At 46.6% G+C, this 14,756-nt stretch overlaps 3 annotated features.

Annotated features, from left to right (window-relative positions):
• Positions 1,380-1,429: a silencer, noted in NCBI's record as "silent region_4563". NCBI's record gives its function as "represses an Ori minimal core promoter by ATAC-STARR-seq in GM12878 lymphoblastoid cells {active_cell/tissue: GM12878}" and the evidence as "EXISTENCE:reporter gene assay evidence [ECO:0000049][PMID:35858748]".
• Positions 2,541-2,741: a silencer, noted in NCBI's record as "peak1743 fragment used in MPRA reporter construct". NCBI's record gives its function as "represses an SCP1 promoter by STARR-seq MPRAs in K562 erythroleukemia cells {active_cell/tissue: K562}" and the evidence as "EXISTENCE:reporter gene assay evidence [ECO:0000049][PMID:32103011]".
• Positions 5,196-5,245: an enhancer, noted in NCBI's record as "active region_6511". NCBI's record gives its function as "activates an Ori minimal core promoter by ATAC-STARR-seq in GM12878 lymphoblastoid cells {active_cell/tissue: GM12878}" and the evidence as "EXISTENCE:reporter gene assay evidence [ECO:0000049][PMID:35858748]".

Raw genomic sequence — 14,756 nt, 5'->3', positions numbered from 1 at the left:
ATACAAAGATTAATATTTCAGATGATTGCTGAGCTCAGAGAGCTCACAGGCTAGGGGAGACAAACATGAGACAAAAACTTGATGGAAAGTGCGATAATAGATACGCATAATGTATTACGATGTGTAGTTCTTAGCTTCAGGGGGGAAAACATTTTAAAAAAACTTGTTTTTCTTCAAAAAATTTATACTTCAGTTTTGGGAATTAATGATTCACTGGCTTACTGCCCAGCCTTGAAACGCATTATACAGGCCGGCACGGTGGCTCCCACCTGCCTTTAATCACAGCACTCTGGGAGACTGAGGCGGGCAGATTGCTTGAGACCAGCCTGGGCAATGTGGTGAAACTCCCTTTTTTTTTTTTTTTTTTTTTTTTTTGGAGACGGAGTGTTGCCCTGTTGCCCAGTGCAACTTCCACCCTCCAGGTTCAATCGATTATCCTGCCTCAGCCTCCTGACTAGCTGGGATTATAGGCGCACTCCACGTACCCAGCTAATTTTATTTTTAGTAGAGCTGGGTTTTCACCATGTTGGCTAGGCTGGTCTCGGACTCCAGCCTGCCTCGGCCTCCCAAAGAGCTGGGATTATAGGCAGGAGTCACCACGCCCGGCCTGCGAAACCCCATCTTGACAAAAAAATAGCTGGGTGTGGTGGCATGTTCTTGTAATCCCAACTACTCTGGAAGCTGAGGTGGGAAGATCACTTGAGCCTGGGCCATTGGGGATGCAGTGAGCCAAGATTGCACCACGAACTTTTCTGTAGACAAGTGTCTCAAAAGCCGGGCACGGTGGCTCACGCCTGTAATCCTAGCACTTTGGGAGGCTGAGGCGGGAGGATCGCCTGAGATCAGGAGTTCAAAACTAGCCTGGCCAACATGGTGAAACCCTGTCTCTACTAATAATCCAAAAAAATCAGCCAGGCGTGGTGGTACATGCCTGTAACCCCAGCTACTCAGGAGGCTGAGGCAGGAGAATCGCTTGAACCCAGGAGGCAGAGGTTGCAGTCAGCCCAGATTGTACCATTGCACTCCATCCTGGGCTGCAAGTGAAACTCCATCTCAAAACAAAAAGACGGTCTTGCCCAGGCTGGAGTGCAGTGGTGCAATCATATCTCAAGCACCACACCTGGTGGACTTTATTCATATATTTTGTAGAGATGGGTCTCCATGTTTCCCAAGCTGGTCTCGAACTCCTAGGCTCAAGTGATATGCCTGCCTTGGCCTCCACAAGTGCCAGTATTAAGGTGTGTGTCACTGTGTGTCACCTGGCTATAATTTTAAATATTTTGTGTTCAAACATTTGAACAGGTTTTCATCAGTCCTTATTGCTTAGGTATCAGACCTTGTGCGTTGTACCTCATCTCTAATTCAAAGCTTCTGTTAAGAACATTTTCTGGGGCGGGCAAGGTGGCTCAATTCTGTAATCACACCATTGAGGCGCCACTGCACTCCAGCCTGGGCGGCAGAGCGAGACTGTCTCAAAAAATGTTCTGGGCTGGGCGTGGTGACTCATGCCTGGCCAACATGGCAAAACCCCCTCTCAAAAAAAAAAAATGATCAATTTAAGATTGTGAGTGAAATTTTTTAAGTTTAGATGAATGGGTATAGCATATTTTTTGTCCATATTGATAGGTTGTGATATTGGTGCTATACGGTTCCCTAAACTTAGCTATTTCCAAGGAGGGCAGATTGAGGGTGATTGCTACAGTAGCATGAAGGTTTTCTCCCCCATTTTAGTTCTAAGCTAATTGAAATTTCTCCTGTTTAGCAGGAATTCTTTTGAGAAATTTTTGAAAATACAATTTTTTATTTGTGGATCACCCAGCATTGTACCAAATAGGAAAAGATGTAGGCTAGGTAGGGAGGAGGCTGGCACTTTGTGAAAAACTTAACATCTAGTTGCTTTGATAGTGATTAAATAAATTGATAACTAAGGGTGTAATAGGGAATACAGAGTAGGACTTCCTGGTCGAATCTAGCAGCCTGTGCAAATAAGAGGACAACTGAAATGGAGTTCTAGGGTGGCAGTAGGATGGAGAATTTTAACAGTGAATTCTAAGGATTTTTGTAAAGGCCTGTTCTAACCCCTACATTCTGTCATCCTTGAGCACTTGAACCTTGAACAACATGGGTTTGAACCCCTTTTAGGTGGATTTTTTCCAACCAAATGCAGGTCAAAAATACAGTATTTGTAAAATGCCAAACCCATGAATACGGAGGGTTCTGTCTGATTTTGGTATGCTTGGTGGTGGAGGGGTCATGAAACCACTCCTCTGGAATATACCAAGGGACAATTGTGTTTTTTTGTTTTTTGTTTTTTTGAGACAGAGTCTCGCTCTGTCGCTGAGGCTGGAGTGCAGTGGCACAATTTCGGCTCACTGCAATCTCTGAATTCCCAGGTTCAAGCAATTCTCCTGCCTCAGCCTTCCGAGTAGCTGGGACTACAGGCGTGTGCCACCATGCCCAGCTAATTTTTATATTTTTACTAGAGATGGGGTTTCACCATGTTGGCCAGGCTGATCTGTGGGTTTCATTTAAACATTGACCACAATTAAATGTTGAATGTCTATTCCTGCTAGTAAAAAGCGTCGTATATCGCCACCAAATATCTTTCCCTCAACACAGTATGGTGAAATACATTTCAGAAATACCATAGCATGAGTAATGTTTTGCAGGTGGATTTGGAGGTAAAGAAACAAGTTTGTGCAGTAATTCAAGTGGTAAGAGATGAAGGGCTAAATTTAGGCAATGGTAATGGGATCTGGAATCCAGGTATATGTAGGTGGTCAAATAAGGCTTGGTGACAACTCATTTAAGATATTGCCAGGCTTGGCCGGGTGCGGTGGCTCACGCTTGTAATCCCAGCACTTTGGGAGGCCGAGGCGGGCAGATCATGAGGTTAGGAGTTGGAGACCAGCCTGGCCAACACAGTGAAATGCTGTCTCTACTAAAAATACAAAAATTAGCTGGGCATGGTGGCATGCGCCTGTAATCCCAGCTACTCAGGAGGCTGAGGCAGGAGAATTGCTTGAACCCAGGAGGTGGAGGTTGCAGTGAGCTGAGATCAAGCCACTGCACTCCAGCCCACGGGACAGAACTAGACTCCATCTCAAAAAGAAAAAAATAATGATATTGCCAGGCTTGCTTTGCTCTTCCCAGATAGTCTAAAGTGACAAATCATTTGTTCGCAAGTTGTATTGTCAGTCTGGGTAATTTCATTGTTCATGTGAAGAACTTATCCAGAACTCACTCCTAAATTATTTATTTATTTATTTATTTAGACACGGAGTCACTTTTTGACATGGAGGCATGATCTCGGCTCACTGCAGCCTGTTTCCCAGGTTCAAGCGATCCTTCTGCCTCAGCTCTCTGAGTAGCTGGGATTACAGCCATGTGCCACCACTCCTGGCTAATTTTTGTATTTTTAGTAGAGATGGGGTTTCACCTGGTTGGCCAAGCTGGTCTCAAACGCCTGACCTCAAGTGATCCACCCACCTCAGCCTCCCAAAGTGCTGGGATTACAGGATTGAGCCATTGTGCCAGGCCAATCCTGAATTTCTTTTCTTTTCTTTTTTTTTTTTTTTTTTGAGACGGAGTTTTGCTCTTGTTGCCCAGGCTGGAGTGCAGTGGCGTAATCTCAGCTCACTGCAACCTCCATCTCCCAGGTTCAAGAGATTCTCCTGCCTCAGCCTTCCCAAGTAGCTGGGATTATAGGCATGCGCCACCAAGCCCAGCTAATATTGTATTTTTAGTAGAGATGGGGTTTCTCTGTGTGGGTCGGGCTGGTCTCAAACTCCCGACCTCAGGTGATCTGCCCACCTTGGCCTCCCAAAGTGCTGGGATTACAGGCGTGAGCTACCCTGCCCAGCCCCAATCCTAAATTTCTTAATCTCAAATCCAATGGCCTTCAGTTGAGTACTTAGCAACCCATTCCCATTATGTATCTCATCATCATGAGTGAAAGAACTGCAAAGCTGCTTATACTACAACTAAGTGTCATGCAGTCTAACTGCCCCTCAACCACTGTTCCTTCTCTGGCCTCACAGCTAATTAGCCTTTATAGCTTTAGTTACTTCCCTATTTCTATTGCGCTGTGATTCATCTTGAACCTATTCTCAAACAATCAAAATCATGGAGTTTTTTGTGATAATGTGGATTCCTAGGTCTTATCTCTGAGATAAGCTTGTCCATGTGGGGCCAGGGATTTGGAATATTATTGATAACTAGAAACCAGTGATTCCTAAAATGTGATCCCCAGACTAGCAGGATTAGTTTTGCCTAGGAACTCATTAGAAATACAAATTCTGGCCCCCAAATAGACCTACTAAATCAGAAACTTTGGAGGTGGGGTCAAGTGATCTGTCAAGCCTCTCCGGGTGATTCTGATGTATGCCAAAGTCTCATTACTGTTTTGGATCTAAAACGTAGGTTCTCATTCGGTTGGTCCTACTGAGATAGCCATGTGCAGTGTGATGTTTTGTGATGAAGGAAATGTTCCATATATCCAGTGTCCGATAGGTAACTACTAGCCAAATAGAGCTACTGAGGACCTGAAAAGCTAGTGCAATTAAGAAATGATTTTTAAATAAAAATCATTACAGGCCAGGTGCGGTGGCTCACGCCTATAATCCCAGCACTTTGGGAGGCCAAGGTGGGCAGATCACGAGGTCAGGAGTTCGACACCAGCCTGGCCAATATGGCAAAACCCTGTCTCTACTAAAAATACAAAAATTAGCTGGGCGTGGTGGTGTGCACCTGTGGTCCCAGCTGCTCGGGAGGCTGAGGCAGAGGAGTCGCTTGGACCCGGCAGGCAGAGGTTTTGGTGAAAAGAGATCGTGCCACTGCACCCTGGGCAACATAGCATGACTCCGTCTCAAAAAAAAAAAAAAAACCATTACATTAAATCTTACTAAATTTAAATAATCCAGTTTGGGCACCATGGCTCACACCTGTAATCCCAACTCTTTGGGAAGCCAAGGCCTGAGCTCAGGAGGGAGACCAGCCTGGGCAATATGGTGAAACCCCATCTCTACAAAAAAAAAAAAAAAAAAAAAACCATGGTGTGGTGGTGCATGCCTGTGATCCCAGCTACTCTAGAGGCTGAGGTGGGAGGATCCTTGAGCCTGGGAGACAGAGATTGTAGTGAGCTGAGATCATGCCACTGAACTCCAATCTGGGTGACAGAGACCCTGTCTCAAAAAACAAAACAAAAATTTTTAAATAATCCTATATGGTTAGTTACTACCATATTAGATAGTGCAGAGTTTGATGATACTGACGTAGGTGGTTTCAGGTCCACTGATGATTCATTAACCAAATTCTTACTTGCCTAAGATGATATGGGGAAATCCAAGCATGATAAATTTGGATACTACAGAGAAAATTAACATCAAAAATTACATAGGTCAATGTGCCAGGCACAGTACCTCACGCCTGTAATCCCAGCACTTTGGGAAGCCAAGGCAGGTGGATTGCTAGAGCCCAGGAATTCCAGACCAGCCTGGACAATATGGTAAAACCCCCTCTCTACTAAAAACAAAAAATTAGCCTGGCATGGTGGCACAAACCTGTAATCCCAGCTACTCGGGAGTCTGAGGCATGAGAATCATGTGAACCCAGAGGGTAGAGGTTGCAGTGATCTGAGATCGTGCCACCATACTCCAGTCTGGACAACAGAGTGAGACTCCATCTCAGAAAAGTCGCCTGGCGAGGTGGTTTATGCCTGTAATCCCAGCACTTTGGGAGGCCAAGGCAGGTGGATCACTTGAGGTCAGGAGTTTGAGACCAGCCTGCCCAACAGGATGAAACCCCATCTCTACTAAAAATACAAAAATTAGCCGGGGATGGTAGTGGGCACCTGTTATCCCAGCTACTCGGGAGGCTGAGGCAGGAGAATCATTTGAACCAGGGAGGTGGAGATTGCAGTGAGCCGAGATCCCACCACTGCATTCCAGTTTGGGCAAAAGAGCAAGACATTGTCTCACAAATAAATAAATAAATAAATAAATAAGCCTGGGTGAGGTGGCTCATGCCTATAATCCCAGCACTTTGGGTGGCCGAGGCGGGCAGATAACGAGGTCAGGAGTTCAAGACCAGCCTGGCCAACATAGTGAAACCCCGTCTCTACTAAAAATACAAAAATTAGCCATGCATGGTGCTGCATGCCTGTAGTCCCATCTACTTGGGAGGCTGAGGCAGGAGAATTGCTTGAACCCAGGAGGCAGAGGTTGTGGTGAGCCGAAACTGCGCTTCTGCACTCCAGCCTGGGCAACAGAGTGAGACTCCATCTCAAAAAATAATAATAATAAAAATTAACAGGCCAGGCGCAGTGGCTCATGCCTGTAATCCCAGAACTTTGGGAGGCCGAGACAGGTGGGTTACGAGGTCAGGAGATCGAGACCATCCTGGCTAACATGGTGAAACCCCGTCTCTACTAAAAATACAAAATATTAGCCGGGCGTGGTGGCGAGCACCTGTAGTCCCAGCTACTCGGGAGGCTGAGGCCGGAGAATGGTGTGAACCCAGGAGGTGGAGCTTGCAGTGAGCCTAGATAGTGCCACTGCATTCCAGCCTGGGTGACAGAGCGAGACTCCGTCTCAAAAAAATAAAAAATAAATAAATAATAGGTCAAAACATACCACTAAATTAAAAGATAACATTAGAAGAAAACATTTACAACATGCTTAACAAAGCATTTGAAGAACACTTAATCATGACAAGCCAAAAGGAAAAAATTGACAAAAGATGGAAACAAGTAATTAACTGAAGATATACAACTGACCAACAAACATGAAAATATTCCATCTTACTAGCCATTAGAGCTGAGCGTGGTGGCTCATGCCTGTCATCTCAACACTTTGGAAGGCCAAGGAAGATGGATTGCTTGAGCTACCCCCGTCCCACCACCAGACTTGAAGGTAGCCATGGGCAATATGTTGAAACCCCCCCTTTTTTTTTTTTTTTGAGACAGAGTTTCGCTCTCATTGCCCAGGCTGGAGTGCAGTGACATGATCTTGGCTCACTGCAACCTCCACCTTATGGTGGTTTCAAGCGATTCTCCTGCCTCAGCCTCCCAAGTAGCTGGGACTACAGGCACACACCACCATGCCCAGCTAATTTTTTGTATTTTTAGTAGAGACGGGGTTTCACCATGTTTGTCAGGATGGTCTCGATCTCTTGACCTTGTGATCCGCCCACCTCAGCCTCCCAAAGTGCTGGAATTACAGGCGTGAGCCACCATGCCCAGCCAAAACCCTGTCTTTACAAAAATTAGCAGGGCCTGATGGTGTGTGCATATGACTGGTCCCAGCTACTCGGGAGGCAGAGGTGGGAGGATTACTTGAGCCTGGGAGGTTCTAGTTCAAGAACTACTTGAACCCAGGAGGCGAAGGCTGCAGTGAGCCGTAATCACTCCACTGTACTGCAGCCTGGGAGACAGAGCAAGACCCTGTCTAAAAAAAAAAAAAAAAAGTGGCTCATGCCTGTAATCCCAGCACTTTGGGAGGCCAAGGCAGGCAGATCATCTGAGGTCGGGAGTTCAAGACCAGCCTGGCCAATATGGTGAAACCCCTTCTCTACTAAAAATACAAAAAAATTAGCCAGGCATTGTGGCGGGAGCCTGTAGTCCCAGCTACTCATGAGGCTGAGGCAGGAGAATCACTTGAACCTAGGAGGCAGAGGTTTCAGTGAGCCAAGATCGCACCACTGCACTCCAGCCTGGGTGACAGATCAAGACTCCGTCTCAAAAAAAGTTAATTAAGTCAATAATTTCATTATATTAGCCACCTTTAAAAATAAAGTTTTGGCAAAGATGCTGGGAACCTGGTAAATTAGCAAGATGGTTTGCGAAGGCAATTTGGCAGAATCTTATTTAAGTGAGCATATTTTAAGCCAACATGTTTAGGAATATGTATTAAAGGAGTACTAGGGTCAGGCACGGTGGTTCATGCCTGTAATCCCAGCACTTTGGGAGGCTGAGACAGGCGGATCATGAGGTCAGGAGTTCGAGACCAGCCTGGCCAACATGGTGAAACCCCCGTCTCTACTAAAAATACAAAAATTAGCTGGGCCTGGTGGCATGTGCCTGTAATCCCAGCTATTTGGGAGGCTGAGGCAGGAGAATTGCTTGAACCTGGGAGGTGGAGGTTGCAGTGAGCAACCTTTTTGTCACCAGGGACCGGTTTTGTGGAAGACAATTTTTCCATGGATGGGGGTGGGGGATATGGTTCATGAAATAATTATACAACTGACCATAATGTAGAATCAGTGGGAGCCTTGAGCTTGTTTTCCTGCAACTAGACAGTCCCATCTTAGGGTGATGAGAGACAGTGTCAGATCATCAGGCATTAGATTCTCATAAGGAGTGTGCAACCTAGATCCCTTGCTTGCTCGGTTAACAATAGGGTTTCCGGCAGGGCACGGTGACTCACGCCTGTAATCCCAGCACTTTGGGAGGCTGAGGCGGGTGGATCACAAGGTGAGGAGATCGAGACCATCCTGGCTAACATGGTGAAACCCTGTCTGTACTAAAAAAAAATACAAAAAAATTAGCCAGGCGTGGTGGCGGGTGCCTGTAGTTCCAGCTACTCCAGAGGCTGAGGCAGGAGAATGGCATGAACTCAGGAGGCAGAGCTTGCAGAGAGCTGAGACCATGCCACTGCACTCCAGCCTGGGCGACAGAGCGAGACTCTGTCTCAAAAAAAAAAAACAAAAAACAAAACAAAAAACAACAATAGGGTATCAGGGGAACCAGCCCCTAATATTTCAACATAGGTTCTTTTCTATTTTCCCTAAGTGTCAGCCGGTCTGAGAAATAAAGGGAAAGAGTACAAAAGAGAGCAATTTTAAAGCTGGGTGTCCGGGGGAGACATCACATGTCAGCAGGATCCGTGATGCCCCCTGAGTTGCAAAACCAGCAAGTTTTTATTATGGATTTCAAAAGGGGAGGGGTGTACGAATAGGGTGTGGGTCACAGAGATCACATGCTTCAAGAGCAATAAAATATCACAAGGCAAATAGGGGCAGAGTGAGGTCACAGGACCAGGGCAAAATTAGAATTGCTGATGAAGTTTCATGTCCCACTGGGCACACATTGTCATTGATAACATCTTATCAGGAGACAGGGTTTGAGAGCAGACAACCGATCTGACTAAAATTTACTAGGCAGGAATTTCCTAATCCTAATAAGCCTGGGGGTGCTACAGGAGACCAGGGCTTATTTCATCCCTTATCTATAACCATATAAGACACACACTCCCAGAGCGGCCATTTTAGAGACCTCCCCCTGGGAATGCATTCTCTTTCTCAGGGCTGTTCCTTGCTGAGAAAAATAACTCAGCGGTATTACTCCTATTCGCTTTTGTAAGAAGAGAAACATGACTCTGTTCTGTCCGGCCCCACAGGCAGTCAGGCCCAATGGTTATCTCCCTTGTTCCCTGAAAATCGCAGCCATCCTGTTCCTTTTGGATGTCCAGATTTCATATTGTTCAAACACACATGCTCTACAAACAATCTGTGCAGATAATGCAATTATCACAGGATCCTGAGGCAACATACATCCTCAGCTTATGAAGATGACGGGATTAAGAGATTAAAGACAGGCATAGGAAATTATAAGAGTATTGATTGGGGAAGTGATAAATGTACATGAAATCTTCACAATTTCTGTTCAGAGATTGCAGTAAAAACAGGCGTAAGAAATTATAAAAGTATTAATTTGGGGAACTAATAAATGTCCATGAAATCTTCACAATTTATGTTCTGCTGTGGCTTCAGCCGGTCCCTCCGTTTGGGGTCCCTGACTTCCCGCAACAATAGGGTTTCCATTTTTATGAGAATCTAATGCCATCACTGATCTGACAGGAGGCAGAATTCAGGTGGTAACGTGAGCAGTGGGGAGAAGCTGTAAATACAGATGAAGCTTTGGTCACTCGACCACAACTCTCCTCCTGCTGTGTGGCCTGGTTCCTAACAGGCCATGGACGGGTACTGGTCTGTGGCCCAGGCACTGGGGAACCCTGCATTATATGTATATGAAACAGAAAGTGAGTGGAATGTATGCAAAAAGTTTTTTCAATGGTCATTTTTGGGAAGGACAGTGGAAGTTTTGGAAGTAATGGTGAAAGAACTCATCCTGTACACCTAGAATATGTTCATATGTTACTTGTGTAATAAATAGTGCTTCCAAATTGTGACCTAAGAAAGGAATATTGGATTTCTGAAAGAGAATATTTCAACTTGGGAATGGCTGTGGAAGTAGGCTGCTTATGTGAAATGGGAATGTGAAAAACTAATTGGAATTGAAGTGGTTGAGGATCTCTGAAGCCAGGGCATTGAATGGGTTCTTTTCGTGGAATTTGAAATAATCCGGGATGATTGTCAAGAAATGTAGTAGAGACCAAAAAAACACATTCCACCAATTACCAGAGTACTGGAAGGATGTGGGGGTATGACCAATGTGGATAGCAGTAATGAAAGGATTTGGTGGAAAATGTAATTTTCACTTCAAGATGAATTTTAAATTACAGAGCACAGTCATTTGGAATTAACTTCAGATAAGAAACCAGATTGGGTGGGTCTGTGTGGTTCCTATTCCCCTGTGAAAAATAACTTGTACTTTTTTTTTTTTTTTCCATTCAGGTTCCATTTATTTTTGACATTTTTACATAACCATCCTTGCAGGGGTAACTCCTGCATCACTCTAGAACTTCAGGTTCCGTCCCTCTCCCTCTCCCTCTCCCCCTCCCCTCCCCCTCCCCTCCCCCTCCCCCTCCCCCTCCCCTTCCCTCTCTCCATGGTCTCCCTCTGAAGCCGAGCCGAGGTTGGACTGCACTGCCGCCATCTCGGCTCACTGCAACCTCCCTGCCCGACTCTCCTGCCTCAGCCTGCCGATCGCCCGGGACTGCAGGCGCGTGCCGCCACGCCTGACTGGTCTTTGCTGGAGTGCAGTGGCATGATCTGGGCTCGCTACAGCCTCCACCTCCCAGCCTCCTGCCCTGGCCTCCCAAAGTGCCGAGATTGCAGCCTCTGCCCGGCTGCCACCCCATCTGGGAAGCGAGGAGCGTCTCTGCCTGGCCGCCCATCATCTGGGATGCGAGGAGCCCCTCTGCCCTGCCGCCCAGCCTGGGAAGTGAGGAGCGCCTCTTCCCGGCCGCCATCCCATCTGGGAAGTGACGAGCGTCTCTGCCTGGCCGCCCATCGTCTGAGATGTGGGGAGCGCCTCTGCCCCGCCGCCCCGTCTGGGATGTGAGGAGCGCCTCCGCCCGGCCACGACCCCGTCTGGGAACTGAGGAGTGTCTCTGCCTGACCGCCACCCCGTCTGGGAGGTGAGGAGCGTCTCTGCCCGGCCGCCCCGTCTAAGAAGTGAGGAGCCCCTCCGCCCGGCAGCTGCCCCGTCTGGGAAATGAGGAGCGTCTCCACCTGGCAGCCGCCCCGTCTGGGAGGGAGGTGGGGGGCAGCCCCCGCCCAGCCAGCCGCCCCGTCCGGGAGGGAGGTGGGGGGCAGCCCCCGCCCGGCCAGCCACCCCGACTTGTACTTTATATAAAATATCACTTGGACAATCTGGGTCTCAATCAAGAAATACGTAGGAAAGGCCGGCCGCCGTGGCTCACGCCTGTAATCCCAGCACTTTGGGAGGCCGACATGGGCGGATCACGAGGTCAGGAGATCGAGACCATCCTGGCTAACACAGTGAAACCCTGTCTCTACTAAAAAAAATACAAAAAAATTAGCCGGGCGTGGTGGCGGGTGCCTGTAGTCCCAGCGACTCGGGAGGCTGAGGCAGGAGAATGGCGTGAACCCGGAGGCGGAGCTTGCAGTGAGCTGAGATCGTGCCACTGCACTCCAGCCCGGGCAACATAGCAAGACTCCATCTCAAAAAAAAATATGTAGGACAAAAACATGTTACAACTCTAAAATAGATTACATTATTTATTCAGAATGCTGGTTAAGGCATATCTCAATCTGAGCTAATCAAGCTTATTCTATTTTAGACATTATTACTTATATTAATAAATTTAACTGATTTCAGAGGAGAGGGAGAGGAGGTTGTTAAAGGCCAACATTGATAGCAACAGAGTGAGAAAAATTAAGAGTTCACAAACTTCAGCTTAATGGTCTCATGGAGAAATAGCTCTTTTTTACTTTTAACTTTTTTTTTTTTGAGATGGAGTCTCCCTCTGTCGCCCAGGCTGGAGTGCAGTGGCGTGATCTTGGCTCACAGCAAGCTCCGCCTCCAGGGTTCACGCCATTCTCCTGCCTCAGCCTCCCGAGTAGCTGGGATTACAGGCGCCCACCACCACACCTGGCTAATTTTTTGTATTTTTAGTAGAGACGGGGTTTCACCGCGTAAGCCAGGATGGTCTCAATCTCCTGACCTCATGACCCACCTGCCTTTGCCTCCCAAAGTGCTGGGATTACAGGCGTGAGCCACCATGCCCGGCCCTTTTTTTTTTTTTTTTTTTTTTTAATAGAGACGGGGTCTCCCTACATTGCTCAGGTTGGTCTCAAACTCCTGGGCTCAAGGAATCCTCCCATCTTGGGGTCCCAAAGTGCTGAGATTACAGGCGTGAGCCATGGAGCCCCACCTCATTAACACTGAAAGCATTTAGCATTGCAATGTGATAAAAAGGTTTGTTGAATGAATAACCCTAATACCCAAGAAAAGTTAAATTACTTGGTAATTTGATAAGAGGACAAATGTGTGATACATTTCAAAAAGTGATGATCTTCGGTTACCTGGTATGAATGTTTTTCTTAGAAACTTGGATTAAGAAATGTCACCAGGCGCGGTGGCTCACGCCTGTAATCCCAGCACTTTGGGAGGCCTAGGCGGGCGGATCACGAGGTCAGGAGATCGAGACCATCGTGGCTAATATGGTGAAACCTCGTCTCTACTAAAAATACAAAAAAAAAATTAGCTGGGTGTGTGGTGGCAGGCGCCTGTAGTCCCAGCTACTCAGGAGGCTGAGGCAGGAAAATGGCATGAACCCGCAAGGCAGAGCTTGCAGTGAGCCGAGATCATGCCACTGCACTCCAGCCTGGGCAACAGAGCGAGACTCTGACTCAAAAAAAAAAAAAAGAAATGTCAAAGTAGGCCAGGAGCAATGGCTCATGCCTGTAATCCCAGCACTTTGGGAGGCCGAGGTGGGTGGATCACGAGGTCAGGAGTTCAAGACCAGCCTGGCCAACATGGTGAAACCCCATCTCTCCTAAAAATACAAAATATTAGCCAGGTGTGGTGGTGTGCGCTTGTAATCCCAGCTACTCAGGAGGCTGAGGCAGGAGAATTGCTTGAACCTGGGAGGCGGAGGTTGCAGTGAGCCGAGTTTGTGCCACCGTACTCCAGCCTGGGTGACAGAGCAAGACTCTGTCTCAAAAAAAAAGAAATGTCAGAGTAGGCAGGGGGCAGTGACACACGTCTGTAATCCCAATACTTTGGGAGTTCCAGGTGGGCGGATCACCTGAGTTCAGGAGTTCGAGACCAGCCTGGCCAACATAGTGAAACCCTGTCTCTAGTAAAAATACAAAAAAATTAGCCAGGCATGGTGGTGCGCACCTGTAGTCCCAGCTACTTGGGAGGCTGAGGCAGGAGAATCACTTGAACCTGGGAAGCATAGGTTGCAGCGAGCCGAGATAGCACCATTGCACTCCAGCCTGGGCAACAAGATTGATACTGCATCTCAAAAAAAAGAAAAAAATGACAGAGTAATGTGTTTAATGGTTAATAATACTCTAATTTTGCCAAGACCCAAATTGATGATACAAAACCAAAGTTCTCAAATCAGATTAAGTCTTGCTGGAAAGGTTGGGAGAGGGAGGAAGTCTTGGAGCTTCTTCACTTTTATATAAAATTATCTCTTTTTTTTTGAGATGGGGGTCTCACTATGTTGCCCAGGCTGGAGTGCAGTGTCGCAGATATTGGCTCACTGCAACCTCCATCTCCTAGGCTCAAGCAATCCTCCCACCTCAGCTTCCTGAGTAGCCTCCTGCAATGGTGCAATCTTAGCTCACTACAACCTCTACCTCCTGGGCTCAAGCCATCCTCCCATCTTAGCCTTCCCAGTAGCTGGGAATACAGACATATACCACCATGCCTGGCTAATTTTTGTATTTTTGTAGAAACAGGGTTTCACCATGTTGCCCAAGCTGGTCTCCAACTCCTGGACTCATGTAATGCCCCCATATCAGCATTCCAAAGTGCTGGGATTATAGGCGCAAGCCACCATGCCCAGCCTGTAAAATTATCCTTGTTCAGGTCAGAAACAGATGAGGCCATAGATATGATATAACAGGCTCACAAATGACAAAAGGAATCTTTATTTTGATTTCTTTTTCATCTCTGCTTTTTTTTTAAGCAACCCACATTGTCTAGAATTTAAAAAACATCCTCAACATTATTTGCCCTATATTACTTTTTCAAGGGCATTATACTAAACAGACTCTGCTCACAAAATGTATGAGAGGAACAAATTATTGAATGGATTGGATAGGATAACATTGACATTAGTCAATAGTAAACAAAAATAATAATATCATGTATATATAGGGCTAATTTTGTGCCAGGCATTGTTCTCAATGCTTCTTTCTTATATTAGTCTACTTAATTCTCAAAACAATCCTAGGATATAATCCCCATTGTTAGTAGTAGTATCCCTTTTATGGATGAGGAAACTGATGTAAAGAGATTAAATAACTTGCCCAATGACAGCTAGTGAGTGGCAAACACAAGATTCCCAGCCTGGCTCCAGTGGCAATATGCAATA

Source organism: Homo sapiens, chromosome 12, assembly GCF_000001405.40.
Source record: "Homo sapiens chromosome 12, GRCh38.p14 Primary Assembly".
NCBI lineage: Eukaryota > Metazoa > Chordata > Mammalia > Primates > Hominidae > Homo > Homo sapiens.
This window is presented reverse-complemented; position numbering and strand designations above follow the sequence as displayed.